Genomic DNA, 23,809 nt, shown 5'->3' with positions numbered 1-23,809 from the left:
CTGAAATGGAATAAATGCTAAGACAGGCTTGGTGGATGAAACCTCTAAAATTTTAATATTCCATTATTATTCACACGTCACTAATCGTAGATCTGACTTTTTCTTAAGTGTACTAAACAGGACATTTTACGAAGTTACAAAAGTCAAAACGATAATATTCCTATTAAGCAGCTGTCGTTTCATAGTCTAATAAAGGTAGATACTGTAGAACATAATTCATGAATACTTTTCAGTCTTTAAAAAAAAAAAAGAACCACAGAATCACCTGTACTTTGATTAAAAAGTTGCAGGGGACACCTAAGAGAGGAAATGCTCAAATCCTGGAAAATGTGTTTTCTAATTCCACAATCAGACTCTAACTCCAAGTGTATGGAAATTTGTGTCAAAATCTATGTAGAAATGCACTATCTGTTTTGAGATGTGGCACTTTTTGCCAAATACATGTACAATTTTCAAAGAATATTCCTGAAGTTACTTTTACCTCCTCATGGAAAATGACTACTTTAAACAAAAACAGCCATTTCTTAGAGAAAGCCATTTTCTGAGCCCTGTAACGCTCTGGTGAGCACCTAACAGACGCAGGCATCAGTGGCAAGCCGGTGCAGCGAGAGCGGGCTGGGGAGAGGTAAGGCATGCAGCCTGGCTGACCCACATCGCGGAGTATCGAGCACACAAAGCACCCTCCTCCACGGATACAGAGGCAGCAAAGACAGCAGCCACAAGACAGCCCAAGGGAAATGTGCACCTGGGAGCTTCCCATAACTTCTCAGGTAAAGAAGTGATGTCAGGCAAGGAACCACAGCCCAGAGCAAGCAAGCTCATCCCAACCTCAAACTGAAATATGTGACATCAACTAATAGCTCTACGAGAATGATCCAAGCACTACTCTTAAAGGTTTCTGAACTCTCTGCAACGATCAATGTTTTCGACTCCCTAAAGCACATCAGCAATTTAAATAAACTCAGAACAATTTAACATCTTAAATCCATCAGCCTCAAATGTGATCGCACAATCTTGCTTTTTAAACAACTGATGGTCAAATTAGAGCTCCACACACGAATGTGAGTGTTTTTTCATAACTATATTGCTCAGTTATGAAGCAATTTCCCCTAGAAGGGGAAACGACGCACTTTTCTACATTGCTCCTTTCTATATGCATGAGCCTGATCTCCAGCAGAAGAATCAAACTTAAGACATTCAAATCAGCAACATTCTGGAGGTGATAAGGAACCAGGGTCAGAGTACCGTCAAGGGAACCTGGAAAAAAGTCTGCTGTTTTGGCAATGGGACAGGATCCAATGACCCGCTAAGCTCTAGGTAGCATAGGGTTTCATTCTTTTCCTCCACTTTAATCCAGAGGCAGAGCAATGACATGCTATGTGGTCCAAAAAGCTCATTTTTTTCTCTGTTACCCATTCCAATGACTGAGAAAGACACTTCTCAAATTTCACATGAAAAATTCATCTTACTATACACACTCAACAGCCTTTCTCTTCTAAGACAAAAAAAAAAGGTTACTATGGGCTTGTGTTAATGATGAGACATAAAACTTTCTGAAAGAGGTTACAAATCCCATCTTTAACTCCTAGCTGTAAACTTGACACTGTTACCTCTTATGCAGTACAGGTTTCTACTGGGTAGGTGAAAACTCATTTTGTTTCAGTAACACCCAAGCAAACCTGTCCAGTCAACATAAGACTAGACACTAGCCAGGCATAACACTGTCACCTCTAACTAGAAGGCAAGGAAGTGTGAAGCAGTTTTTCAAGAAGCTGAGAAACACACTAATTCTATATTGGTGGGTTTTTCTCCACATGTATCCTAGAAGAAACTGCCAAAGACAAACTGCCAAGGTCTACCTGGAAAGTAATGATCTCAGAGTGCACAATTACAAAGAGAAGAAGTGGAGAAGGGAGAGGAAGAGGAGGGATGGTGAAAGGGAAGGAGAAAGAGGAGAAAAAGAGGAAAAGAAAGACACATTCAACTTTAGAGTGAGACCCATGGCAGGAGTCCCACATAAATTCTGCGCTTTATGCATCAATTAAAACCCCTGACACTCACTAAGTTACACTAATAAATTACATCAGAGGATGTAACAATTTCCAAGGTCAGTGGGCTGAGGTAGCCAATTATTATTTTTATTCTTATTTAAACAAAAGGCAGCCCTCTAACTAAACAGCTCTGAAGAATGATATATCACATATGACATCTCCAGCTTTGCTTTCTGGTCCCAATTCTCCTCAGTTGAAACCCTGATTTAATCTCATTTTCAACAGCCCAATGCATTACAAGGAAATGCCAGTTTAAAAGGTTAAAAATATAATCTGACAGCAGTGATGCTTCTAAATTATAAGCACCGCAGATGCACCAAGTAAACATATTTATTTTGTTGCCATGCTATCTAAATCCAGAACCTCCGGGTGTGACCAGAGACACTGTGGACCTCAACATTCCACCACACCCCCTTGAAAATACTCAAAAACTCAAATACGCAGAATCTAAGTGAACCAGTGGAACCCTGGATAACAGAAATGCCTTCCCTACAATCTGTCCTTACAGAGAGCTAAACATCCTTTAACACTTGATTTTTAAGTTTTAATTTTATCTATAAGAATAACATGTATAAATGGGATTTTCAGAGAATTCTGTTGGGTCCCAGTTTTCTACATCTTTTAAATTTACAGTGTTATTCAACAATCACTAATGTTCAGAAAGATCAACGAGGTAAGCCTCATCCATCAAAGAAAGATGCAAGCAGACTCCATATGATGTGTTAGAAAAAGCAGAATCACAAACTCTAATTTTAAAAAAAATCCTCTACAAAGATTTCTGCTTAATCATCAGTTAACCTAAAACTTCCACAGTCCAAAAGCATGCCTCTTCTGAAGCATTCCAGTTAACAGAGGTCTTTACTACATAAAGCCAAGGTTGTTAACCACTCAAGTTTTCTTAGCAAGCAAAACATACAGCATATTACACTGTTAGTCTTGGTCTTTTTTTCACCAAGTTACTTTTGGTCCAGAAGAAACAACAGTTCCAGATTTTGAAAAATAGTCTATCAGAAAAATAAAGGCTGTTTTCAATTTAATAATAGTCACCATGTGTAGCTGATACATTTGTAACAGAAAGCCAAAAGATGTCACCTCTTGAAGAAATCTCACTTGAGAGATCTTCAATAATAAACTGATTCATCAACCACCAACATGCCCTCAAAATCTCTGAGCTACCATCCTTGAGGATTATTTATCAGAGAAAATATCTGCAATTTCTGCATCATTTTTTATTGAGAGCATGCGCCCATTACACACCATTAAGAAAATCTACAAGGCAAAAAATAATCGGCCAGATACTCACCATAAGACAGTCTCTTATTATAATCCAATCAAAACTAAATGAACAAATTCATTAAGCCACTTCCCAAAGCCACAATTCACAAATCATTTGGATTGTGGCTTACTCCCAAGGTGTGTGCACACACACTGAGCAGCAGACCTCACCCTTCTACTCACGGGGCCCTCACGCGGCAGCACACATGCTCACAGAACCAGATTTGTGTCTGTGTAGCTTTCACAGTTATACTACAGCTCTGGGGTTGCAGAGACACCATTAAGACCAAGAACTTTAATGCAGAATAATTTATGCCACCACACTGCTCTCCACTATACACGTAATTTTTAAAAATATTACATTTCCCTTTTTATTTGTTATAAATCCTATCAGTAAGTTGAATTTTAGAAATTTCATTATCCATTATGGTCCCTATAAAAACTAGATTAGAAATGGAGAAAGGAGATGAATATTCATTTGAGAATTCTACGAACTGAAGTCAGGTTGGGAAATTGGATTGGGGGATGGTGTAATAAAAGAAAAACACAAAAAAGATGGTTTATATTTTCCTGCTATATTCAACTCTCTCCAGCAAAAAAAAAAAAAAATAGTTTACTGACAAGATTACTGGTTCCTCATAATGATTTTTTTTAAAAAAGAGAGAAAAAAATAAACTGAAGTTGGCTTTCACGGTTATCACTCCAGCAGTCTTGCTTCAAATACAACAAGCTGCACTCAACATAGGAGCAGAGTGGAGGCAAAAAAGTCAACAAATAGCAAGTATTTTTGTAGGGACATGAAAAAAGAATACATCAAAATTGGCTGAACAGCAAATATCACATATAGATTATAAGCACAAAGTTCTCTAAGAATCAAAGGAAAGGAGTTGAAAAGCAAAAGATTCAGAGTGAAAACATAAATACAAGCATATAAATACAAAAGCCAGATGGATAACTATCAGGAAAAAATAATACAGTATTTATCTGTGACTTCAGAGTGAAAAGATAAGAAACCAGAGCAACTAATTTTGAGTAAAAATAAAGCTTTATCACTGTCAAAATATGTTTCAGTTTGTTGATTTTTCTGGGGAGACTTTAATACTACATACTAAGAAAGATCATTTAAGGCAAAAAGCTGAAATTACTGTCAGCTTCAGGCCACATCTCTGTACTCATGACTGTAACCCCTTCTCTTTCTTAAAGTTTAAAAGGAAACTTTAAAATTTATCACCATCTCACTTTATAACCAGACAGTCAATTGTCAATGAGTACTTACTATATTTATGTGCTGAAGAATTTTACAATCTACCTTACCTTGGAAGACACATTCTTTATAAAGAAATATAAATAAACTAAGCATTCTTTATAAAGAAATATAAATAAGCTAAGTACCTATTTTAAAGTAAATAATACATTCTTAAAAACTACAGCAGGGTACAGCAAAAAGAAGGAAGAAGACATCCTTATAAGAATGTTCATATTTCCAATCCATTCTGACCCTCCATGTAGTGCCAGGTACACCAGGTACTGGGACAGATGGCAGCTGAATGAGCCCCAGATCCTGCCCTGTCGTGGTGCTTGAAGGAGGGGACATTTACAGGGCACAGAAAGCTCACTAGAGATCCTTGCTCCTGACTGGAGGGAAAAGGGGGAGGATTCAGGAAGGGCATCACGCTGGAAGTGACACCTGGGCTAAATCCTATCAGTTGAGCAGGTTGTAGCAGGCAGAGGGAGTTGCATGTGCCAAAGCACAAAAGATGAAGAAAAAGAAGAAAGTTACATGAACATGTAACGGGGGTGGGGGAAAGGCCCCAAGGGCAGAAAACTGGATCCCGAGCTTGCCTGGGCAGGACATGTGTAAAATGTAGTGTCCTTTCCTCTAAGTACCTAATAGACTTATTTTCAGAAGCCATGCCCTGTGCATACATACTGAGTCTTTCAGAGATCTTCTAAAGCTCTCAGAGGACAGCACCCTGTTTCTCCTTCTCCCATATATCCTGTTAAAACATACAGAGACCTTAGAAATCACATGGCAATTCCTGATGCTGCCCCCTCAACTTGCCGAAAAAAAGCAGACTTGTATTCACCTATTAACATATACCTCACTCTGATCAAGAAAAAATATATTTGGCTTATTTTAAATGATTTTTAGCATTAATTAAATTCTCTAAAAATGAAAGTCAGTTGGCTAACACTTTAAAAAGAAGCACATATATTATGTTTAAAATGAGGTGTATGAAAATATGTATATGGACAATAACTAGAAGTGAAAGTGAAAAAAACGAAAATAATATTAGCATCATGGATTAAAGAAAAATGAGGATTTTTCCAAAATTTGGAAAAATTTTTCTTCCAAAATTTTCATTAATATACCATTTAGTATACAGCCTTTTAAATTAATACAATATTACCTAAATATAAATGGCCTGCCTTAAGAAAAAAATCCCATTTACAAATTTTTTAGCGAAGAAAGCTAAATGATCTGTGTTAATGATTAGTGTTCACATCTGAAAGTTGTAGGAATCAATGAGAGATAACTTAAAACTGGCTTAACCTAGGGAAAACTGGGGTGAATTAATTTCACAAGCAAAATCAAAGAGGGCGTGATTTATGGTAACCAACATGGTGAGTGTTCAAGTAGATAAAAAGACCCAATTAGATCAGAGAAACAGTCACTTAAACTGAGCTGAAAGGGCTACAGAAAGCCCTTCTCCTGAGGGAGATGAGCTCTATTGTCTGGATTTGATCTGAATGGAGGTAACAGGAAAAACAGGGGCAGGCACCCTCTGACCCTTTCCGTGGGTCTGGGAGGGAAGAACAGAACACGAACATAAGCAGGCCAAGCCATCAAGCAGCAGGGCGGGGGTGACTCCAGCAGGGCTGTCCGCCTACACAGCTATCCACCCCACGACAGGAGTCCCACAGGGAACTCTCCAGCATTTCCACTGTTATCATCACAACTTCGGACCTTAATGTAAAACATTAAGTTACATCCTCCTGGTCTCTATCAAAAGTTATTATGGACGATGATACAGCCTTAGGGAAGTGCCTCCAGTCTTGTAAAGTCCTGATACAAACATAAGATGTATACACAGGCTTTGAGAAGTGGAATACACTTGAGCTTTAGAATCTGAGACCTGGATTCAAATTCCTGAACTTCAAAATCCTTTACTGACTGTGCAGAGTCACACGAGTCACTCAGTGTCTGGGCATCAGCATTTCCTCATTTGTTCAATGGGATGGCATCTCCTCCTCCAGGGCTGCTGTAAAGGAGCATATGGCATGTGGCAGGAGCCTGGGCCCCTTTATAAGCCTCTCACACTGGGCAAGAGACTTGCAGTTCAATTTACTAATTTATAATTAGTAAATTGCACAGGAGCAAGGAAAATTCAGTGAGGGGGAAATCCCCTCCGCCCAGCCCTCCTCACTACCGCAAAGAGAGAAGCAACTCTCTCCTGAACTCGGCACGATTAAAGAGCAGTTTTATTTCATTTTTTTGAGACAGGGTTTCACTGTGTCGCCCAGGCTGGAGTGTGGTAGTTTTTATACAACACCAAGTCTGTATGCTTTATTATCCCGGACAAGATTTCTAAGTAATAAACCCAAAGCATGAGCTTTGACTAAAGGCGGTAAGGAGTGGGAAGAGGAGGAAACAAATTACTAAGGTGATGAAGATTTGGGCCTTTTCCATCTGGGGAAAAAGTGAGCTGTGCTGTCTTTTAATATTCATAACAGTAGTGCACAGGCAGGCAACCATGATAAGACAATAATTCAACTGAAGGGCATTTCTGGTACATGTAAACTACTCAGGTTTCACCCTTGTGTCGCTTATTACATTAGCAGAACCTGCTGATTGAATTACTTCCCTGCAGTGCTTCCAGGTCTCTGGTTTTTCCCATATAACATCTAATACTGCTTATGAAGATGCTGTATTTGTCCTTTGGTATTTTACCAACTGATATCTCAAGATGCCTGTTTGCTCAGAATGTTTTTCAGAAACTCTGGGTCATATGTACCTCACCACCTATGTAACCAAAAAGGCTTAACTGCTCTCACAGGAAGGTTCAAACTATACAGTGTAAAGCTATGCCAGCTCTCAGAAGGGTCTAAATCAACTGAGTTTCATCAAAGCCTTAGAGCTGGCACCTGGTCTAAGCTAATACAATAAGCAAATAAAAGGCACTTTTCCTGGACTGCTGTTGGACTATGCTTTTTGGATTAGCTAAACCAAGTGCCACTGCTGGAACAAGTTATACCAAGTACTGTTAGTGAGGAGATAGGAGCTATATGGACTTTTCCCTTAATCAATACTAACAGGAAGATTAAAAGACAAGAAAGGAAAAATCAACATAACAGCGACGTTAGTCCCAGGCAAAGATAGACCTTTATTAGAGAGGAAAAGTACTTGAAGCCCCTTTTCCAAACTATAAACGAAATACAAATGCTAGCCTAAATTACCAACGACAGCAACAAAAGCAAGAAGAAAGATTTCAAGGGTACATGCCACAGCTAATAAGGTTAGACAGCTTTTCTGGAAGGAGGAACAAAATGGATCATCTTGAAAACTAGAGAAATGAACTTATTACTTTGGATGACAAAGGCAGCTTTTCCTGCCTTTATCCAACATCCAAATCATATTGATGCATCAATTCAATATGATATATAATTATATATAATATATTCAGGTAAATAGGGAAGATATAAGGATTCATTTTTATTTCCTCAAAAACAGACATTTAATTTTCTGAAAACATACTAGGAGCACAATACTTATGTGGGCAAAGCGCATATGTGGGCAACTTCCCAAAAAAGTTAATATAAGTTGTAAACCCAAGGAAAAAACATTTCACCTTACTGGTAACTTCTTTGAATGAGTGAAGTTTTACACCACTATGTTTAATGAGAATACCCAGTATGGCAAGGGTTTGGTTAAAAAAAAACAAAATAAAAACATACAAAACTGCTTTGGAACACACACAGTAAAGGCAGGATTGAACAACTTGGAGTCAGAAAGACCTAGGTTCGAATCAGCACTCTGTCACATGTGGCCCTGAACAAGCTTCTCAAGCATCACGACTCAGTTTCATGCATAAAATGATGAGTGATGGTACCTACCTCCCTTGCTAAACATTTAAAGAGGCCACACACGAATAGCACTTTACAAAGAACCCAGCTAAGAATCAGCACTCAATAAAGGACAGATACCATCAGGGCTCAGGAGCCAGCCCTCTGGGGACCTCCCCCAAGGAGCAGGAAGAACCAACCCACTAAGCAGCAAGAGTCTAGCCAGAATTTCCTCATCTCCTCAGGAAAAGAAAAAAAAAAACTCAGATCTCGATGCTTCCTCTTTAAGGATCATTTTTAACTGCAGGTTCTGGCCAGGGACCTCCACTTCAATTCAAAAGGAGCACCCTGAAGAAATGGCAGAAGTTGAGATGGGAACACGACCAGGCCAAGCAGGGCAGCCCCTCAGTGATCCAAGACCACCACCTGCAGCAAACACTGCAAGGCCAGAAATCTGCTCTGCTCTTTTCTCCAGCAATGGGATCAATTACACCCTCAGAGGGGCTGGTCTGGGGGCTAAATGCCAGTCCTCACCTGCTCCACACTATTGCTGCCATAGCTCAGCAAGAGACAGCCAAGACCCCAAGGCAGAGGGACAAGTCCATCCCTGCTTGAAACAACAGCCTGGAGGAAAAGCAGCCCATTCTGCCTCCTGAGGGCGATCCCCTAGCTGGTGGGCACACTGTGCATCCTCCCATGCAGGAAAGAGCACAGGGCTATGGGTCCTTCTCCTCGTTTCTTGGGGGACAAAGCACTCAGGACCCCATCCCTTGGGCCTCCAGGGAAAGCAAGGCTCCAGAGGCACAGTTGTCTGAATGGGTAACAGGAAAGAGTTCTTGGATCACTAACTGCTCTGCCAGTGGAGTTTAACCCCAAAACATTCACTGGTTCCAGCACAAGTTTCAAAATCAAACCACTGAGTGCCCAAATAATTAAATGGATCACGTTATCTCACCTCACCCTTGCCATCGCACAGAAGGGGGCTACGCCCATTGTGAGCAACTGTTCTTTGGCAGGGGAAGAGAGACAAAGGTAGGAGGGAAATGAATTACAAAAGGGAAAACAAGCCTATTTGGAGATTTCAAGCAAGACTGGGTCCTAAGGATTAGTTCACTAACCTACTCAGAAGGCTGACACTGCCTGCTACCTAGAGTCTGCAATAATGCCTTGAAATGTTATTAGCAGGGCTTCCCCCTCCCAGAGGCCACAGCCTTTACTGGGCCCAGGTCCTTCCTTTCAAGTCTCTCTCATCACAAAGGCCCTCTCACCCCTTCAATTCCAAAGGCACTGGATATCCCTCAGCCTCTCAGCCCCTCAACCTCTCGATGTGCCTTCAGGTACTCTGCTTTCCCCTTGCTAACCCTTAGCTAACTCACCCTTTCTACCTCTGCTGACATAGAATTCCCTCCCTCCCCACAAAAACCTGCCCTCCCCCAAAAACAAATTTTGTCCCCTACTGTACACGAAACCCTGTACTTCTCCTTGGCAGCACCTTGCCAGGTTTGCTTAAAGGGCTTCCTTCTTGATGGACTGTAAGCTCCATGAAGGCAGGGACCACTCTGAGATTACCTACTATAACCCTAGCCCAAATATTTCAATACCCCAACAATACCCCAACCTGACTTTCCAACTTCACCTCCCTCCCCAAGTACTTCAGCCTCCAGCCATACCCCTCAAGGTTCCAAAATCGCCATGCTTTTACTACCACTGCTCTATAAAAAACCCAGGTCACCTCTCAAGGCTCTGCTAAAGGCCAACTGCCCCAGGAAATCTTTCCCAATCTCCCAGCAATACACATGCCTCTCACCTTCACCCTGGTGGAAATAATCAAGCAAGAGAGCCACAAGGACCTACCTTCTAATCAGATTCCCACTAACTAGGGGAGTGAGCTTGGACAAGTCATTAAGCTGGAGCCTCATTGCCCAGATAATAAATTTGAACTCCTGGAAAGGATAATGTAAACCACCTAACGGAACCTGGCATATAGTATGCCCAGAGCTCTCGCCCACCATCCCGCTACACCCTAATTAATGATTTGTTGCTAAGTCATCTGTCTTGCCCTTAGACTGTGTACCCCTGGGGGGCATTTCCTTATGTAGGCTCCACCACCCCTAGTCCTCTGAAGTGAAATCAGCCTCGTAAAACAGCAACAACAGCATCACCTAACACAAACTGAATGATCAGTGTTTAGTGTGTATGTTTAGATAGTGCTTAATTCCTAGTATGTACAGGCAATCCCATTTTTTTTTCTTCATCTTAAAGTTCAGGGGTCCATGTGCAGGATCAATGAATCCCATTTTTAATATACCCATGCAGAACACACATGCAATAAAATATATACATACACACATGCATCTCAAAATTCTTAGTGTAATTTTAAGCTTTAAAAACAACAAAATTATAAAAGCAACAGACTTAACATCATCTGGAAGTTCAATTATTTAAATTTCTTTTACACTCAGTTGATCAATTTTGAATGCAAAAGTTTTGATTTCACATCTTTTAGTCCCTCTCATTAGAAATGAAAAATGCTAAAATTCCCCAAACAGAATCTGGGGAAATTTCAGAAGTTACGTTCACTTTAGCTACTAGAGGAATGTTTTCATTTTCTTTCTATGGCAAAGTGTTCAATCTGGAGGCAGTAACCAGTGGATTCTAGGCCTGTAGCTCTCCCAACCCTGAGTGCTGTGCAGGTGGCTGGCAGCAGTGGCTGCTATCAAATTTTGTCTCTCTTTTGTAAACTGCACCACACAAGAGCCATCTTCTGCCTTGGCTTGCTTCTCACCAACACAGAACTGTTCTCCATGGTGTGGAGGAGACATAAAGTATTTCAGGAACTGTACTACCTTCTTACTGCCGACAGTCACAGACAGGTACAACCAATATAAATGAGCTCTTCATCCTGTCCTTTAACCACCCAAATGCAGTGTTAAAACATTCTTCTGGTCCTTCCACCATCCTGTACCTGCAGGATGCTTGTATAGATTACCCCACCTACTCGAATCTCTGTTAGTTCTGTTATTTCATGTCAGGTGACCTTTAAAAGCTTGAAAATCTGTGTCATGCATTAGCTCTCCTGGGTGAAAGCTGCTTATGTTCCAGTCTGCCAGAAGCATGGTTCTCAGTAAGCTAGGCTATTCTTCAACTGCCACGCTCTCAACAAATTTCAGATAATATTGGAGATTAACAAATGCAAAAAGACTTGCAGATGACTTATAAATTATAAAGCCACTCCAAAAATGCTTTTGTTAGCTAAGATTTTCAAACCGTACAGTACTTAATGTTTGGAATAACTCATCAAAAAGGCTGAAATTGTGCTCACTAGAATGATCAACAACCCGAGGAGACAAAAAACAACTCAATAAAAACTTAATGAATTTATTTCCTATCAGTCTTGTCAGGTTGCATTTTGAATTCTATCCACAGCATGTGATGAAAGTACCCAAACCATAATGTAATCTTATGTACTACATCAAGGATCTAGTCAGCATAATTTTCTGGGATCTGGTGTGAAAGCACACTCCTTTGTGTCTACAATCCTTCCGCAGGAAGGGCCTTTCCCCAACGCAATCAATCAATCAATCCATCAATCAATCATCAGTCCAGAAAAGCCTAATTGCTCACCCATCACCAGTTCTGATTATAATTAGTGTTCTATAATCATGGAGCAGGAAGCACAAGATGGGAAAGGAGGGGGGCCACCGAGGTCCTCCGAGGCACTTGGTAATCACGATCAGCCGTTTTATACCAATAGCCTAGAAGCCAAACACACAACTGCTCGCTCTGGTTAAATTCTGTTAAACCAGTACTAATAAGAATGGAAGTACAAAGCTTGAAACAATGATTTCTTATCCTAAAAACAGATTCTGCATGAGCAGAAAAGCAGGGATAAGCAGAGTGAAGTGTTTGAGAGTGAGAAGCATTATGCGGATGGCTAGAAAGAAAACCTCAATCGAGAATGACTCGCAATAGCCTTAAACCTGCTGCTGAAAATGCCCCCTGATGCATATTTATTAGGTCTGTCATCCAAGAGGCTTGTATGCCACAGTATTTCCAGCCATCATTAATAGGCATTAATGACCACAGCCTTTCAACGCCACTGTGGCGCACTGCAATGCAGCTCCGAGCAGCTGGTGGAATCAGAACAGATGGCCTGCTTCCCTTCAAGGCAGGACTTTCTGCAGGTGACAACATGACTGCTAGGTGACTGACAAAAAGAAAAACAAACAAAAGTTGAAACTGGAATATCTGATGTCAGTAAAGCACATGTTTAGTTTCTCAGGGAAACTTTGACTTGGGCCCTAAAGGTTGGTAGGATTGTTTACAAAACTGCAGTTGTGCTACAGAAGCAGAGTGCTCCTTCCAAGTCCAGAAACATTCACTAAGCCCTGGCCACATCTCCATGTGGGGTGGCAAACTAGGGTGTGCCACAGAAATCCATTTCTCCAAGAGGCTCAGTGAGTACCTAACATGCACCAGAAAGGGAAGCCCAGCATTCCAAGGAGGGGGGAAGTCAAGGTTCCTACCCTCAAGGGGCAATACGCTCTGGTGGAATTCAATGGCCACTCTGGGCACATGGCAAGCAGCACAGAGGGCAGAACCACGTTTTTGTCCAGGGATACTTAACTATCTGCCCTTGTATTTGTTTACACTTCTATTTTTCCCTTCAGTAAATTGCTTATATACGTTGCCTCTTAACGGGATACTTGGAATCTTCTGATTGAAAGAGCAGAACCCACTCAAGGTGGCTTAAACAGAAAAAAAAGTAAGTAAAAACCGAAAGAAGTGGGGACTCTCAAAGGACACAGGACTATTTTCTCGGAAAAGCTTTTCCTGATTATTTTGTCCAAAAGGATCCCCCACTACCTTATCCCTAGCATTTCACCCTGCCAATTCACCCCCCCCCTGCCCACCCAATAACTCTCTTCCTCCTTATCCTGCTTTAGTTTCCTCCCAGCAGTCTCTGAAGTTCCATTTTTTATCTACTCCTTTGCTTGCTCACCTCTCTCAAAAAAAGGTAAGCTCCAAGCAGGCAGGAAGGGCAGCTGTCTGTCTTGTTTGCTGGTGTAGCCCAGGGCTGGGAGCAGTGCTGGTCCTCAGTCAGTATCTTGAGTCACTGAATGAATGGTCAATCACACGAAACTAGGTCTCAGGAGGTACCCGAACCAGGAACTAGAAGCAAGACAGCTGCCCTCTAGCTCACACTCCATTCTCTCTCTGCCTTGTTGGGCTGCAGCCTCAGTTTCTCCTTCCAACTCCACTGTGCCTTCCAACTCCACTCTGCAAAGAGCAGAGGGCTTTCTTCACTCCCATCTCATACTAGCAAAACCCTGAGACAGTCTCCTGTGCTCTTAGGGTAAAGTCCAAACCCCTTCCAATATCTTATAAGCCCTTCATGATATCCCCCCATCATCATCCCTCACAATGTTTCATTCAATCATTCTTTCCTAGCCATAAAGAGTGTTTCTCTGTTCCTCAAAGTAGCTGCACGTTTTCATCTCTAGGTTGCAGAATACTCCAAACCTTCTTCGGAAAGCACTCCTTCCCTCTTATCTCCATCGTGGTCATCCCCATCTCATCCTGGCACATGGCTAGGGGACCCTGCTAACACATCCACCATCCCAGCCTTCAGGTCTTCCAGCTAGGCTGTCAGTGCTGCAGCAGCAGGGACCATGACTGTCTTGTTCATCTGCGTATCCCTTAGTGCAATCCACAGCATCTGACAAGTGGCAGATGCTCAAATATTTGGGGAATAAATAAATGAACCATGTATCAGTAACGGTTATTCACAAAGAGGCTGGGACAAAAATAAGAGAGCAGTTCACCAGGAAAAGGAATGTGTCTGCCTTGTCCTAGCTGTATTCCTCATGCCTGGAAGAGTAGACAGCCAATAAATATTTGCTGAATGCATACATTCCTGGCTTGCCTGATGTAACTCCACCCCTTTCTCTCCCACTTGAGAAAACACATCAGAATGCAAAAGGGTGAAAAATGACATTATTAACATGACATATCTGAATCATTTGAAAGATCCACACTTTATTACTTGTCATAAATTACTGGCCACATACCCTCAAGACTGATCATCACATATGAGGTACTTGAGACAGTGGTTGAGAACAGGTGATTTAGACAAAGCTAAGAAATATGAAGCACTTTCTGCTCTTATTATTTTATTTTCCAGAAGATGAAGGTGACAATAAGCTCAGTAAGAACTAATAACTGAATTATTCTAACCTTTACTTTTCTTTTTATAAAATAGATTTCTGCACACCCCAGGAGAAACGTTTAATTAAATCAAAAGACATTATAAATTCCTTTTCACAGTTATTTTTCTCCCATACCAATGAGGTCTACCAAGTTGCTGTTGTCTCCATTCAAAAGCCAACCTACAACCCCATATACCTACTTTCAGGAAGGCCACACTGCAAGCCCTGCACAGCAGATATAAAACCAGTGCTCCAATGTGACAATATTGGTCTTCCTCAAATATAGCAACGGCTATTTTGTTTTGTTTTGGTCCTTTGTGCATAAGTATTTTATCTTTTCGATAAAATGTTTGGTAAAATTACTGAACCTGAATCAAGCCTGTTTTACTTTCATTTATACACAGCATCCCCAAATATTGATCACAGGATGAAACACAACCAGAAATGAAAAGACCTAATGAAGCTTTCAGTCTTGGTGTGTTAAAGAGAGAAATAAATAAATCTGAGAAAGCCAGACCAGAAACCACACAGCAACACAGACAGCCACATATTCCAAACAAGGCTAAAGTTAGTAAAGGAAAATATAGCAACTCAAAGCCAGTAACACCGTAACCCTTAATAGCCCACAGAATTAGACACTCCATCCACACAAACAGATCTGAGCTCTTCAGATCACCCCACATGCTGAGCTACAGTAAAGATTTTGTTTTATAAATTTTTTTAAAGTTCAAAGACCTTTTAGTCTATAAAAGATACTAATGTTTGATGTCTTTGGGCCCAAATTAGAGTGGAGGATGAGAAAAGGAAAAGTGTTAGGGTATATTTGAAGGTTTCTTATTGCCACCAAAGGGTGGAGTAGTCAAGGCAAAGTGCTGAGGTTACAGCAACAACAAAAAGCATACAGAAAGTGGGACCTGCTTTTAAAAAAAAAAAAAAGACCATAAACTCTACAAGCTACTATACCCCTCTTTGTCTTACCTAACAAAACACTGAATCATCCAAAGGAAATGAGGCAGGTATCTACCTCCTTTTGTAGAGCTTATCAATTTCTACTAAAATACTTCATTTTTCAGTCATATTTAGTCATATTTATAAATTTTCATTTGTAGAGGTTCTTACCCTCTTTTTGTGCCAAGAATCCCTTTGGCAGTTTGATGACATGTAATGAGCCCTTCTCAGACTAATGTTTTTAAACATACAAAATAAAATACAAAGGATTACAATTGGAATCACTTATACTTAAATATCAAAAGTCTTAAATTGCTATACACATGTGCACTTCTGTAATAATGCATTAAATAACAAAATCTAGCAGCAAGTCTTTTTGTTGCCTACACTCATAAGTGAATGAAAATGCTAAACTGCAGTTTGAATATCATGAAAATCAAGACATGTTTTTCCCCCATCTAAGTTCAAGAATGTCCCGAACTCCATCTGTGGACCCTAGGTTAAGAACCCTTGGTTGAGAGAGCCAATAAAAATACATTTTGTGAAGCATCAAAAGAAAAAAAAAAAGTCTTGCAAAATGCATTATCCATTCAACTGTGAGGTGAGAGGAACTAAGAGAGTAAGCAATATTTTTCCAAAAACCACCATGGGCCATTAGTCAGCAAGAGAGCCACATGCTTCAAATTGAATCCAGAAAGGATGCTTTGAGGAACTGACAGCGCTGCTGGAATCTGTCTTAAAGTGAGGAAAGGGTAGAGTAGGGGAGTACAGCCACCCAGCTCAGCCCAGATCAACTATGAACTTGAACCTCTCTTGTTCTGGGAGCCTGTGTCCTCAAGAATAAAATATAAGGGCTAAACATATACCATGACCATTAGGCCCCCTTCCAGTCCTAATTTTTTTTTATTATACTTTAAGGCTGGAATACATGTGCAGAATGTGCAGGTTTGTTACATAGGTACATACGTGCCATAGTGGTTTGCTGCACCCATCAACCCATCATCTACATTAGGAATTTCCCCTAATGCTATTCAGTTCTAAATTTTTATCATGAGATCATCTCCTCTTTATGCTGGTTATTTCAGTCTATTTAGCTAAATTTCAAAACATCACTGTCTTTCTTAAACTTGGAACATAAAGTTTTACACAATTTAAATGCTCCCATGGGTAACCTAACACCAATGAGTCAAACAGATGTATATCATTACAACTTTTTTAAACATTCTGTTTTTACGCACATCTTCATAAAAAACAACCACAGCATTGATCTTTTCTGCTATTAAAACAACTGTCAGGGAACTTAGAATATGTAACTAAATAGTTTCTACATTTGCGCCAATGAACAGAATTACTGAGCACAGACCAGGAAGGGCTCTTGAAGCCTACCTAATCCAATCATATTTTGCAAATTGATAAAGAAACAGAGAGGAGGAGGAGGAATTAAGCCAAAGTCACAGAGCCAGTCAGCAAGAGAGAAGGGCTTATTCAGGTCACCCACCTGTAAATGCATGTTCTTCCCACTATACCAAACTGCCTCTCAAATCCTGAGCCACTTCCCTAACCTTAAAACGTAAGTTTAAAATTATAGCAAAAAGACCTGCTGGTTAGACCAGTCATTTTTCTCTACCTTCAGTTAAGTAGTGGACACAACAAAGAGTTGTGGCTATGATACATTAACTGGCTGGAATCATGAAATAATTAAATTCCACTAATCAGCCCAGAAAGTGATGAGCTCACTAAAATCCTAGCTATGTGGAATCTCTTAATAATACTGTGTAACACACAAAAAGATATAGAAGTATTTAGATATGGATATAGACATCTATCAGCTCTTCATTCTGCTCTCCAGGATTTCCTAGTAATGTTTCACTATGACATTCGAAAGTGAGCAAAAAGGACAGTCACATAACCATTAAAAAAAAAAAAAGCACTGAATTTGACAAGCAAAGCTTCTATCAATACCAAATATTAGGCATTTTTAGATCTCAGGAATCATCTCATTATTCAGAAAATCTACTTGAAATTTTCTGTTTTCCAATATTTATACCCCAGAGGACATAAAGATAATATCATAAAGATGATATTAATTCTATGTGAATGTTATTGTTGTTTTAAGATGAAGTACACTGTCTCAAATCCTAAGGGTGGAATATGAATAAGGTTCTCTCTAAAAATCTTCCTACCTAGTCACTCTTTCACCTGCACTCTTCAATGTGTTCAACATTGGTAAACAGTCAGAAACCTACCCTCGAAAAAAGAAAAATACCACAATTCAAGTATTCAAAAACCAGACTAGCATCCTCTACTCACATTTCACCTCCTCAGAGAGAACTTCCCTCACCTTCCAGCCGAAGAAACCAATACCCACCTAAGCAGTCACTCTCCAAGTTTATCAACTCCTCTTCAGAACTTGGCTGCACCTGAAATTGTCACTTATTACTCCTCTATTTGCATGTTTCTTTCTGTTTATGCCTGTCACTCCACTCTAAAAGGAAAGTTCCCTGTTCTCACTGCATCAGCAATGCCTAAACAGCACAGGCACAGAGTAGGTACACAAACGACGGTTGAGTGTCTCGCCCCCTAAGTGCCAACTATGTCATACTTTGGTCTCCTGGAAAAGCATTAGCAAAGGGCAGACCATATGCAACTGCAACGTTATATCCCGGGCTCCTGTGGAGTGAGACTATGATACTAGGACAATCCAGGGTTTCAATCCTTTCCGTGGCTTCGGAATGCCCTGCACTTCCAGCTATGAACACAAAACCTCTCCAGGCCCACTCGCTGCTTTTCTGAAACATCTCAACAATGATTTCCTCAAAAGGAAATAATGAAATAAAGTTCTGGCATACGTTAATCTTCCGCGTCAAGTTCACAGTGTTAAACACACTGAAGCCAGCCACACAAACAAAACCAAACTCCACAAGATTAGGTTGGGCTGAAGTTACATAAGACAGACTAAACTGCGGCTTTTCTCCTGTCATTCCTCCCGCCTTCCTGTGAACCCTGATATTTGTCTTTGAAGTGCAATTAAGATGTAGGTGAGAAAAACACTTATCTGCAAACAGCTTCAAAATAGGTAATGAGATTTCCAATACCACCCCCACTTAATGCACTAGCAACAAAGTCAGGAAGACTGGGAAGCTTTGAGTTGTGCGGTGTCTGGAAGCTTCCCTCAAAAACTCCTCTCTTTAAATTATTTTTAAGTCAGCACTTACTTCAAGGCACTCACTTATCAAAACACGTTTTGCAAAGTTCCCTGAGTCTTCCCACAGCCATGACTCCTCATATGTGTGCTAAGCCTACCTATCAGCGCCGAGGATGTTCTGAATACAGGTCTTTCAACGCAGAAGGACAAAAGCGCGGGTTCCCAGAGCGACACATCCAAAGGAAAAAATAATCCTTTCTTCAACACTAAACCCAAGTTGTTCCTTCCCCCCAGTTTCCTGCACTTCCCCCTTCCCCCTCCCCTTTCACTGCCCACTATATCCAGTTTTAAGCCCGCAAAGCCTCTCTCCTGGCTTATTAAGGGTAAACAATAGAAATGTCACAAGGAAACTCAGGAAGTAGATGAAGTCTCTAATTGCTGCCGTTTAACGATTGTACATAATTACTATCTTCAAGATGCGGCTTTCACCAGCAGAGAGGGAGCCGAGGCGGGCGAGGCTGGCGAGCTCCCCGCAGCCGGGAGGGCATCAGCGAGGCCGGGACCGGGGGGATACGGCCCGCGCCCCGGTGCCAGGCCCCGAGCAGCCGCATCCTGTCCCTCCCCTCCAGAGCACTCCAAGCGGGGAGAAGCGGAGGGCCGGCCGGCCCGGGTCACACACAGTTCACTGCTCTCGGGCTGCGGCGGCCCGCGGCGGTCATCGGAACAATTTGCAAAGCGCAGCCGGGGATCCCACAGCCCGCGGCGGCCCAAGCTCACGGCGCCGCGCTCGGAGTTCGGGGGCGCGGGTACCACGGTCCGCGAGGGAGGTGGGAAGACGGGGCTCCGCGCCGGCCGGCCTCTCAGCTTCGGGAAGCGACCCCGCGAAGCGCCCGCGACCGCGGCGCCTCACATGGAGTCCCTGCCCGCCCTCCCCGGCCCGGACGCGGCGCGCGGGAAGTGGAGCCCCTGCCCCCGCCCCCACGATACGGCCGCGGACCCGGTGCCCGGCGCTGCCCCCGCTGGGTCGCCCGAGTTCTGGCCACTTCCTCCGCCGCGTCCTCCGCGCGGACAGCGCAGCCCGGCGTCCGCCGCAGCACCCCGAGCGCGCGCCGATGGGGCGCATCCCGCCCCCGCGCCGCCGTCCGGGCCCTGAGAGCCTCTCCTGCCGCCCCGAGCGCCCCGGCGGTCCCCAAAGAGCACCGAGCCACCCCGCCAGCCCCGCTCCAGGATGCGGGCGCTCCCCGCCCGCGCCGCTGCCCGGGACCAGGGACCCCAGGACTCACCCGAGCACCACCAGCTCCCCGTATTTCACTGGCTCCTTATTGGGGGCGCAGTGTTCCTCCTGGCCAGGGGAAAACATGGAGCCCCGCTCGGCCGCCGACGCCGCCGCCGACGCCGCCGCCTCCGCCGCGATCCCCGCCGAGTCCGCGCCGCCGCTACAATCCCATCCCGAGAACGGGGTGAGCGCGCCGGGGAAGGGCACGGCGGCGAAGGGGGCGCGGGGCGGCCAGTCCCGCTGCTGCTCCGTCGTGGCTGCGCGGCTGCTCCGCCTGACTCCCCGGAGCTCCGCGCGCCGCGGCCGCCCCGAGTCAGAGCCGGCAACAAATGGGACCCGGCAGCAGGGGGACCTGCCTGCGCTGAGCGCCGCCGCCGAAGCCCCGCGGGAGGGAGGGAAGGAGGAGGGAGCGGGCGCACGAGAGGCTGGGGCCGCGCGGGGGAGGCGGGGGCCAGCGCGCGGGCAGGTGGGAGCCGCCCCGCCCCACGCAGAGCCAGGCGCCCGCCCCCGGCCCGCGGGGCGCCCCCTCCCCCGGCGCGTGGGGCCGTCCGCGCCCACTCCCCGCCCCCCTCGGCCCGGCGGAGGCTCGGCCCCTGTGTTATGTAAACATAGAGTAAAAGGGAAAGGAAGTTCTTAAAGGAGCAGCTCTGTTTTTTTTCCTCACTTCCTTCCCCAAACTTAGAGCGCGGGGTCCTCAGCCCTCGCCGCCTGGTTCTTCAGCCGCGAAGGCCCGCGGGAGATCCTGGAAACGAGCGGCCGCGGTTCCCAAGCCCACGTTTTCCTGGCTGGAGTTCGATGGGATTAACTTCCTCTCCGAGTAGAATAGCGCTCTCTCGACGTCACTGTGTCCCGGCTTACAACTAGAGGTGTCGCACACACCCACTTGGGTGCCTCCCCTTCCAAAACCAAGCAGAAAGGCGTCTAGAAAATTAGAAGGTTTTGCCAGTTGGTGCTGGCGTAGAGGACGTTTCGAAGGCGCTTGGAGCACCCCACCGTTGCACTGGATGTAGCTACCCCGGCTTGTGGTCAATAGAGCTCCACCTGGCTTTTGGGGGGTGGCGGGGGGATGGGGGAAGAGTTGTTTTTTAATCCATACTTTATCCACTTTTCCTGTGCCTTCTTTCCATCCCCTAATACATACAAGGGGAAATTACCTGGGTGGACTTTTTAGTGAACGTAAATGTTCCTTTATGACCGTGATTTAATCAATGCACTGTTTGCTTTCTATTCTTTTTAAACTAGTTATTGCTATGGCTTTAAAATATCGTAGACTGTATAGTTTTACTGACTGCTGTTTTTCATCATACAGGATTTTATTGTTCTAACATTTATTAAGCACTCATAATGTGCTAGAAACTCTACATATTATTGCGAGTCATTGCCTCTCAACACTGTTAAATATTTAAAGAAATAAATACTGCAGAAGCTACCCTGTGTATAGTGACTGGTTGGCTATGACCCGAAGCAAAGGGCTAGAAAAAATAATAATTGCATCTGTAACCTTCCATTCCGCTGTGCTGCACCCCTTGTGTAACATTCTCTGACAGGTTATTACGGTAGTGACATGATGTTTCTGATAATTTTACTTCAGTTAGGAACTGATTTTTTTAATTGAGGTTTTAGAAATAAATTATTCCAAAGTAACTAAAGCCACACCACTGGTAAGCCAAAAATAAACTTTATTAAACAGTTAACTTATTTCAGCTAACTATAGAAATTCTGTATTTCAAATGAATATTAGTTATTCTGCATATATTACGTATTCTCTATATTTTTTATATGTAATAAAAAATCTGTTACAGTTTTAACCAGCACTCCTTCACTAAAGGGATAAATCATGTCTCCTCCCCAGTGTTGATGTAAATTTCTTTCAAATTTCTGCTGGATTAATGTTGTCTTCATGTACTCTGTGCATCTACTTACCACATAGATTGTATGACTATCAAAGATCTGTCAGAATCATTCTGCAGTTGCGCCGTCACGATTACGATGATGCCTGCCTCTGTCACCCTAGCTTCTCTAGGCCTCCTCTGTTGCTGCTTCTGCTCTCTAGGCTACCATTACCTCCTTCCTTCTCTCTTGGCCTGCTGTGCCTGTGTGCGTTGCATTGCATTATACTGTTCTGGCTGCATTTCCTCCTTGCTGTGCTTCGCATCTGCTCTTAGGAAGATAGAAAGAAATATGTATTAACCTCCTACTAAGTTCCCAGCACTAGGCTGAGAGTTTCCCATAGGATATCCCAATCTTCCAAGGCCCCCCCGTCTAGCTATCTGCCTGTGGCACCCCTGACTTCCAGAGGGACATGTCTCTCTACTCTCCCAACATGTCTTTGAGAATGTTTATAGTACTTAATCAGGTCTGTCTTTATCAGACTGACTTACAGGAAGTGTTGTTGTGAATGAGTTTTTGTGTCAATGGAGGCTTTTTATCCTAGGCAGCTCAAGGCTAGATCAGCTCTGTGAATCACTCTGAGCCCTGAAAGCTTCTGACTGGTAAGAGCAATTCTATTGATCACAGTCAAGAATACATACAGGGACCAGGCATGGAAATCCAAATGAGCAAATGGGCTGAGTGAGGACTGTGGCACATTGGTAGGGTCTGTGCCGTCTACAGGGCTTATCTGTCACTCATCTCTAGCTGATTGTTGCCATGTGACAATGACAGTTCACTCTTGCTAGATGTAATTTTTCTAAAAGCCTCAAATCCTGATTACACCAAACCTCTCAATTTTTAACTGTTGGCAACTCATTCACACTTTCAATTTTCTTGAAACACAGCATGAGCCCATCAAAACTATGTCTGTTTTTCTAGACTCTATGTACCCAAGGTCCCCACAGTTGCTTTCTCTGATTTCAAGGAAACAGACATGAGTAAAGGTAAAAACACTTCTCAAATGGTATCAAATGGTAGGGCTGGGGGGATGGCAGAGTGGTGAGGGGTGTTAACTTGATTTTCTCAGAGCGTTGATGGCTTGTGTTCCTAAAGAAGCCAGCGTGTGACTTTCTCTGTGCATCTCTTATCAGAGTTATTTGCTCACAACTTAAACCAATTAGGACATGACCCCATCATCCCCAGTTAATATTAAGAATCTGATTGTAGCATGGATTTATCCTCTCTTGAATGTAATTGTTTTAGTGAGTTGCTCCAGGCTGGTGGGACAATCTGGCTGTGCCATCTGCCAACCCACTAAGAGCCAGGGTGGGCTTGGCTGACTTGATTGCCAGGGCAGACCCTTCCCTGCTCTCTCTGCTTGCCATTCCATTTATGTCCCTCACCCCAGACCACTCTCTTGAAGAGGATGACCCGCCCACATCATCCCAGAGGGAGTCTGTGCTATTTCTTGGGCTACCAGAGGCCATATGCTTACTATACAAATAAATAATGTAAGGCTTTATCTTGACTTTTCCCCAATTGTGTCTTCCTGTTTTGTTAAAATCAAAAGATTTAGTGAAAAAGTGTATGTTTGTTTTAAACATACCTAAAGTCAGTCAAATACCTTTCAGTATTTCTAGAATGAAGCATCTAATTTTTGGTCATTCTACATTCTACCTTACATGTTTATGTTTGGAAAGACTAAAGAGCAAGTAGACACTTTCAAGAATATGTTTGGACAAACCGAGCAAGATACAGTATATTTTTTCATGCAACTTTAGATTACATTTCATTTTTAAGCTGTTATCTTCTTGTAGTTTTCTGATTGAGAATAATATAAGCTCTTTGTCAAAAGTTTTAGAAATACGAAAAAAAGGATTCAAAAATTGTCTTAAATCACCTATAATCTCATTACCCAGAAAAAACCCTATTTATCATTTTTGTGTATTTCCTTCATTTTTTATTTTTA

At 42.9% G+C, this 23,809-nt stretch overlaps 1 protein-coding gene across 5 annotated transcripts in view, besides 4 other annotated features; it reads right to left on the bottom strand.

Moving 5' to 3' along the window:
• PELI2 (pellino E3 ubiquitin protein ligase family member 2) overlaps positions 1-20,302 on the bottom strand; it is a 183,114-nt gene extending 162,812 nt beyond the window's left edge. For 3 of the 5 annotated variants that reach the window (XM_011536990.3, NM_021255.3, XM_005267890.6), the window contains exon 1: positions 19,976-20,302. Coding sequence is in view for 2 of the 5 variants with exons in the window: in NM_021255.3 (NP_067078.1) it covers positions 19,976-20,052 (77 nt within the window). In the remaining 3 variants the exon portion in view is untranslated. Of the gene's footprint in view, positions 1-3,354; positions 3,920-18,850; positions 18,978-19,975 lie in introns of those variants that run through there. The other 2 variants (XM_011536992.4, XM_017021479.2) reach the window with 2 other exon arrangements.
• Positions 19,825-19,894: a silencer, noted in NCBI's record as "silent region_5789". NCBI's record gives its function as "represses an Ori minimal core promoter by ATAC-STARR-seq in GM12878 lymphoblastoid cells {active_cell/tissue: GM12878}" and the evidence as "EXISTENCE:reporter gene assay evidence [ECO:0000049][PMID:35858748]".
• Positions 20,185-20,444: a silencer, noted in NCBI's record as "silent region_5788". NCBI's record gives its function as "represses an Ori minimal core promoter by ATAC-STARR-seq in GM12878 lymphoblastoid cells {active_cell/tissue: GM12878}" and the evidence as "EXISTENCE:reporter gene assay evidence [ECO:0000049][PMID:35858748]".
• Positions 20,485-20,544: a silencer, noted in NCBI's record as "silent region_5787". NCBI's record gives its function as "represses an Ori minimal core promoter by ATAC-STARR-seq in GM12878 lymphoblastoid cells {active_cell/tissue: GM12878}" and the evidence as "EXISTENCE:reporter gene assay evidence [ECO:0000049][PMID:35858748]".
• Positions 20,675-20,914: an enhancer, noted in NCBI's record as "active region_8436". NCBI's record gives its function as "activates an Ori minimal core promoter by ATAC-STARR-seq in GM12878 lymphoblastoid cells {active_cell/tissue: GM12878}" and the evidence as "EXISTENCE:reporter gene assay evidence [ECO:0000049][PMID:35858748]".

The sequence above is a fragment of the Homo sapiens genome, chromosome 14, assembly GCF_000001405.40.
Source record: "Homo sapiens chromosome 14, GRCh38.p14 Primary Assembly".
NCBI lineage: Eukaryota > Metazoa > Chordata > Mammalia > Primates > Hominidae > Homo > Homo sapiens.
The sequence above is the reverse complement of the archived record's forward strand: the minus strand, read 5'-3'. Positions and strand labels throughout refer to the sequence as shown.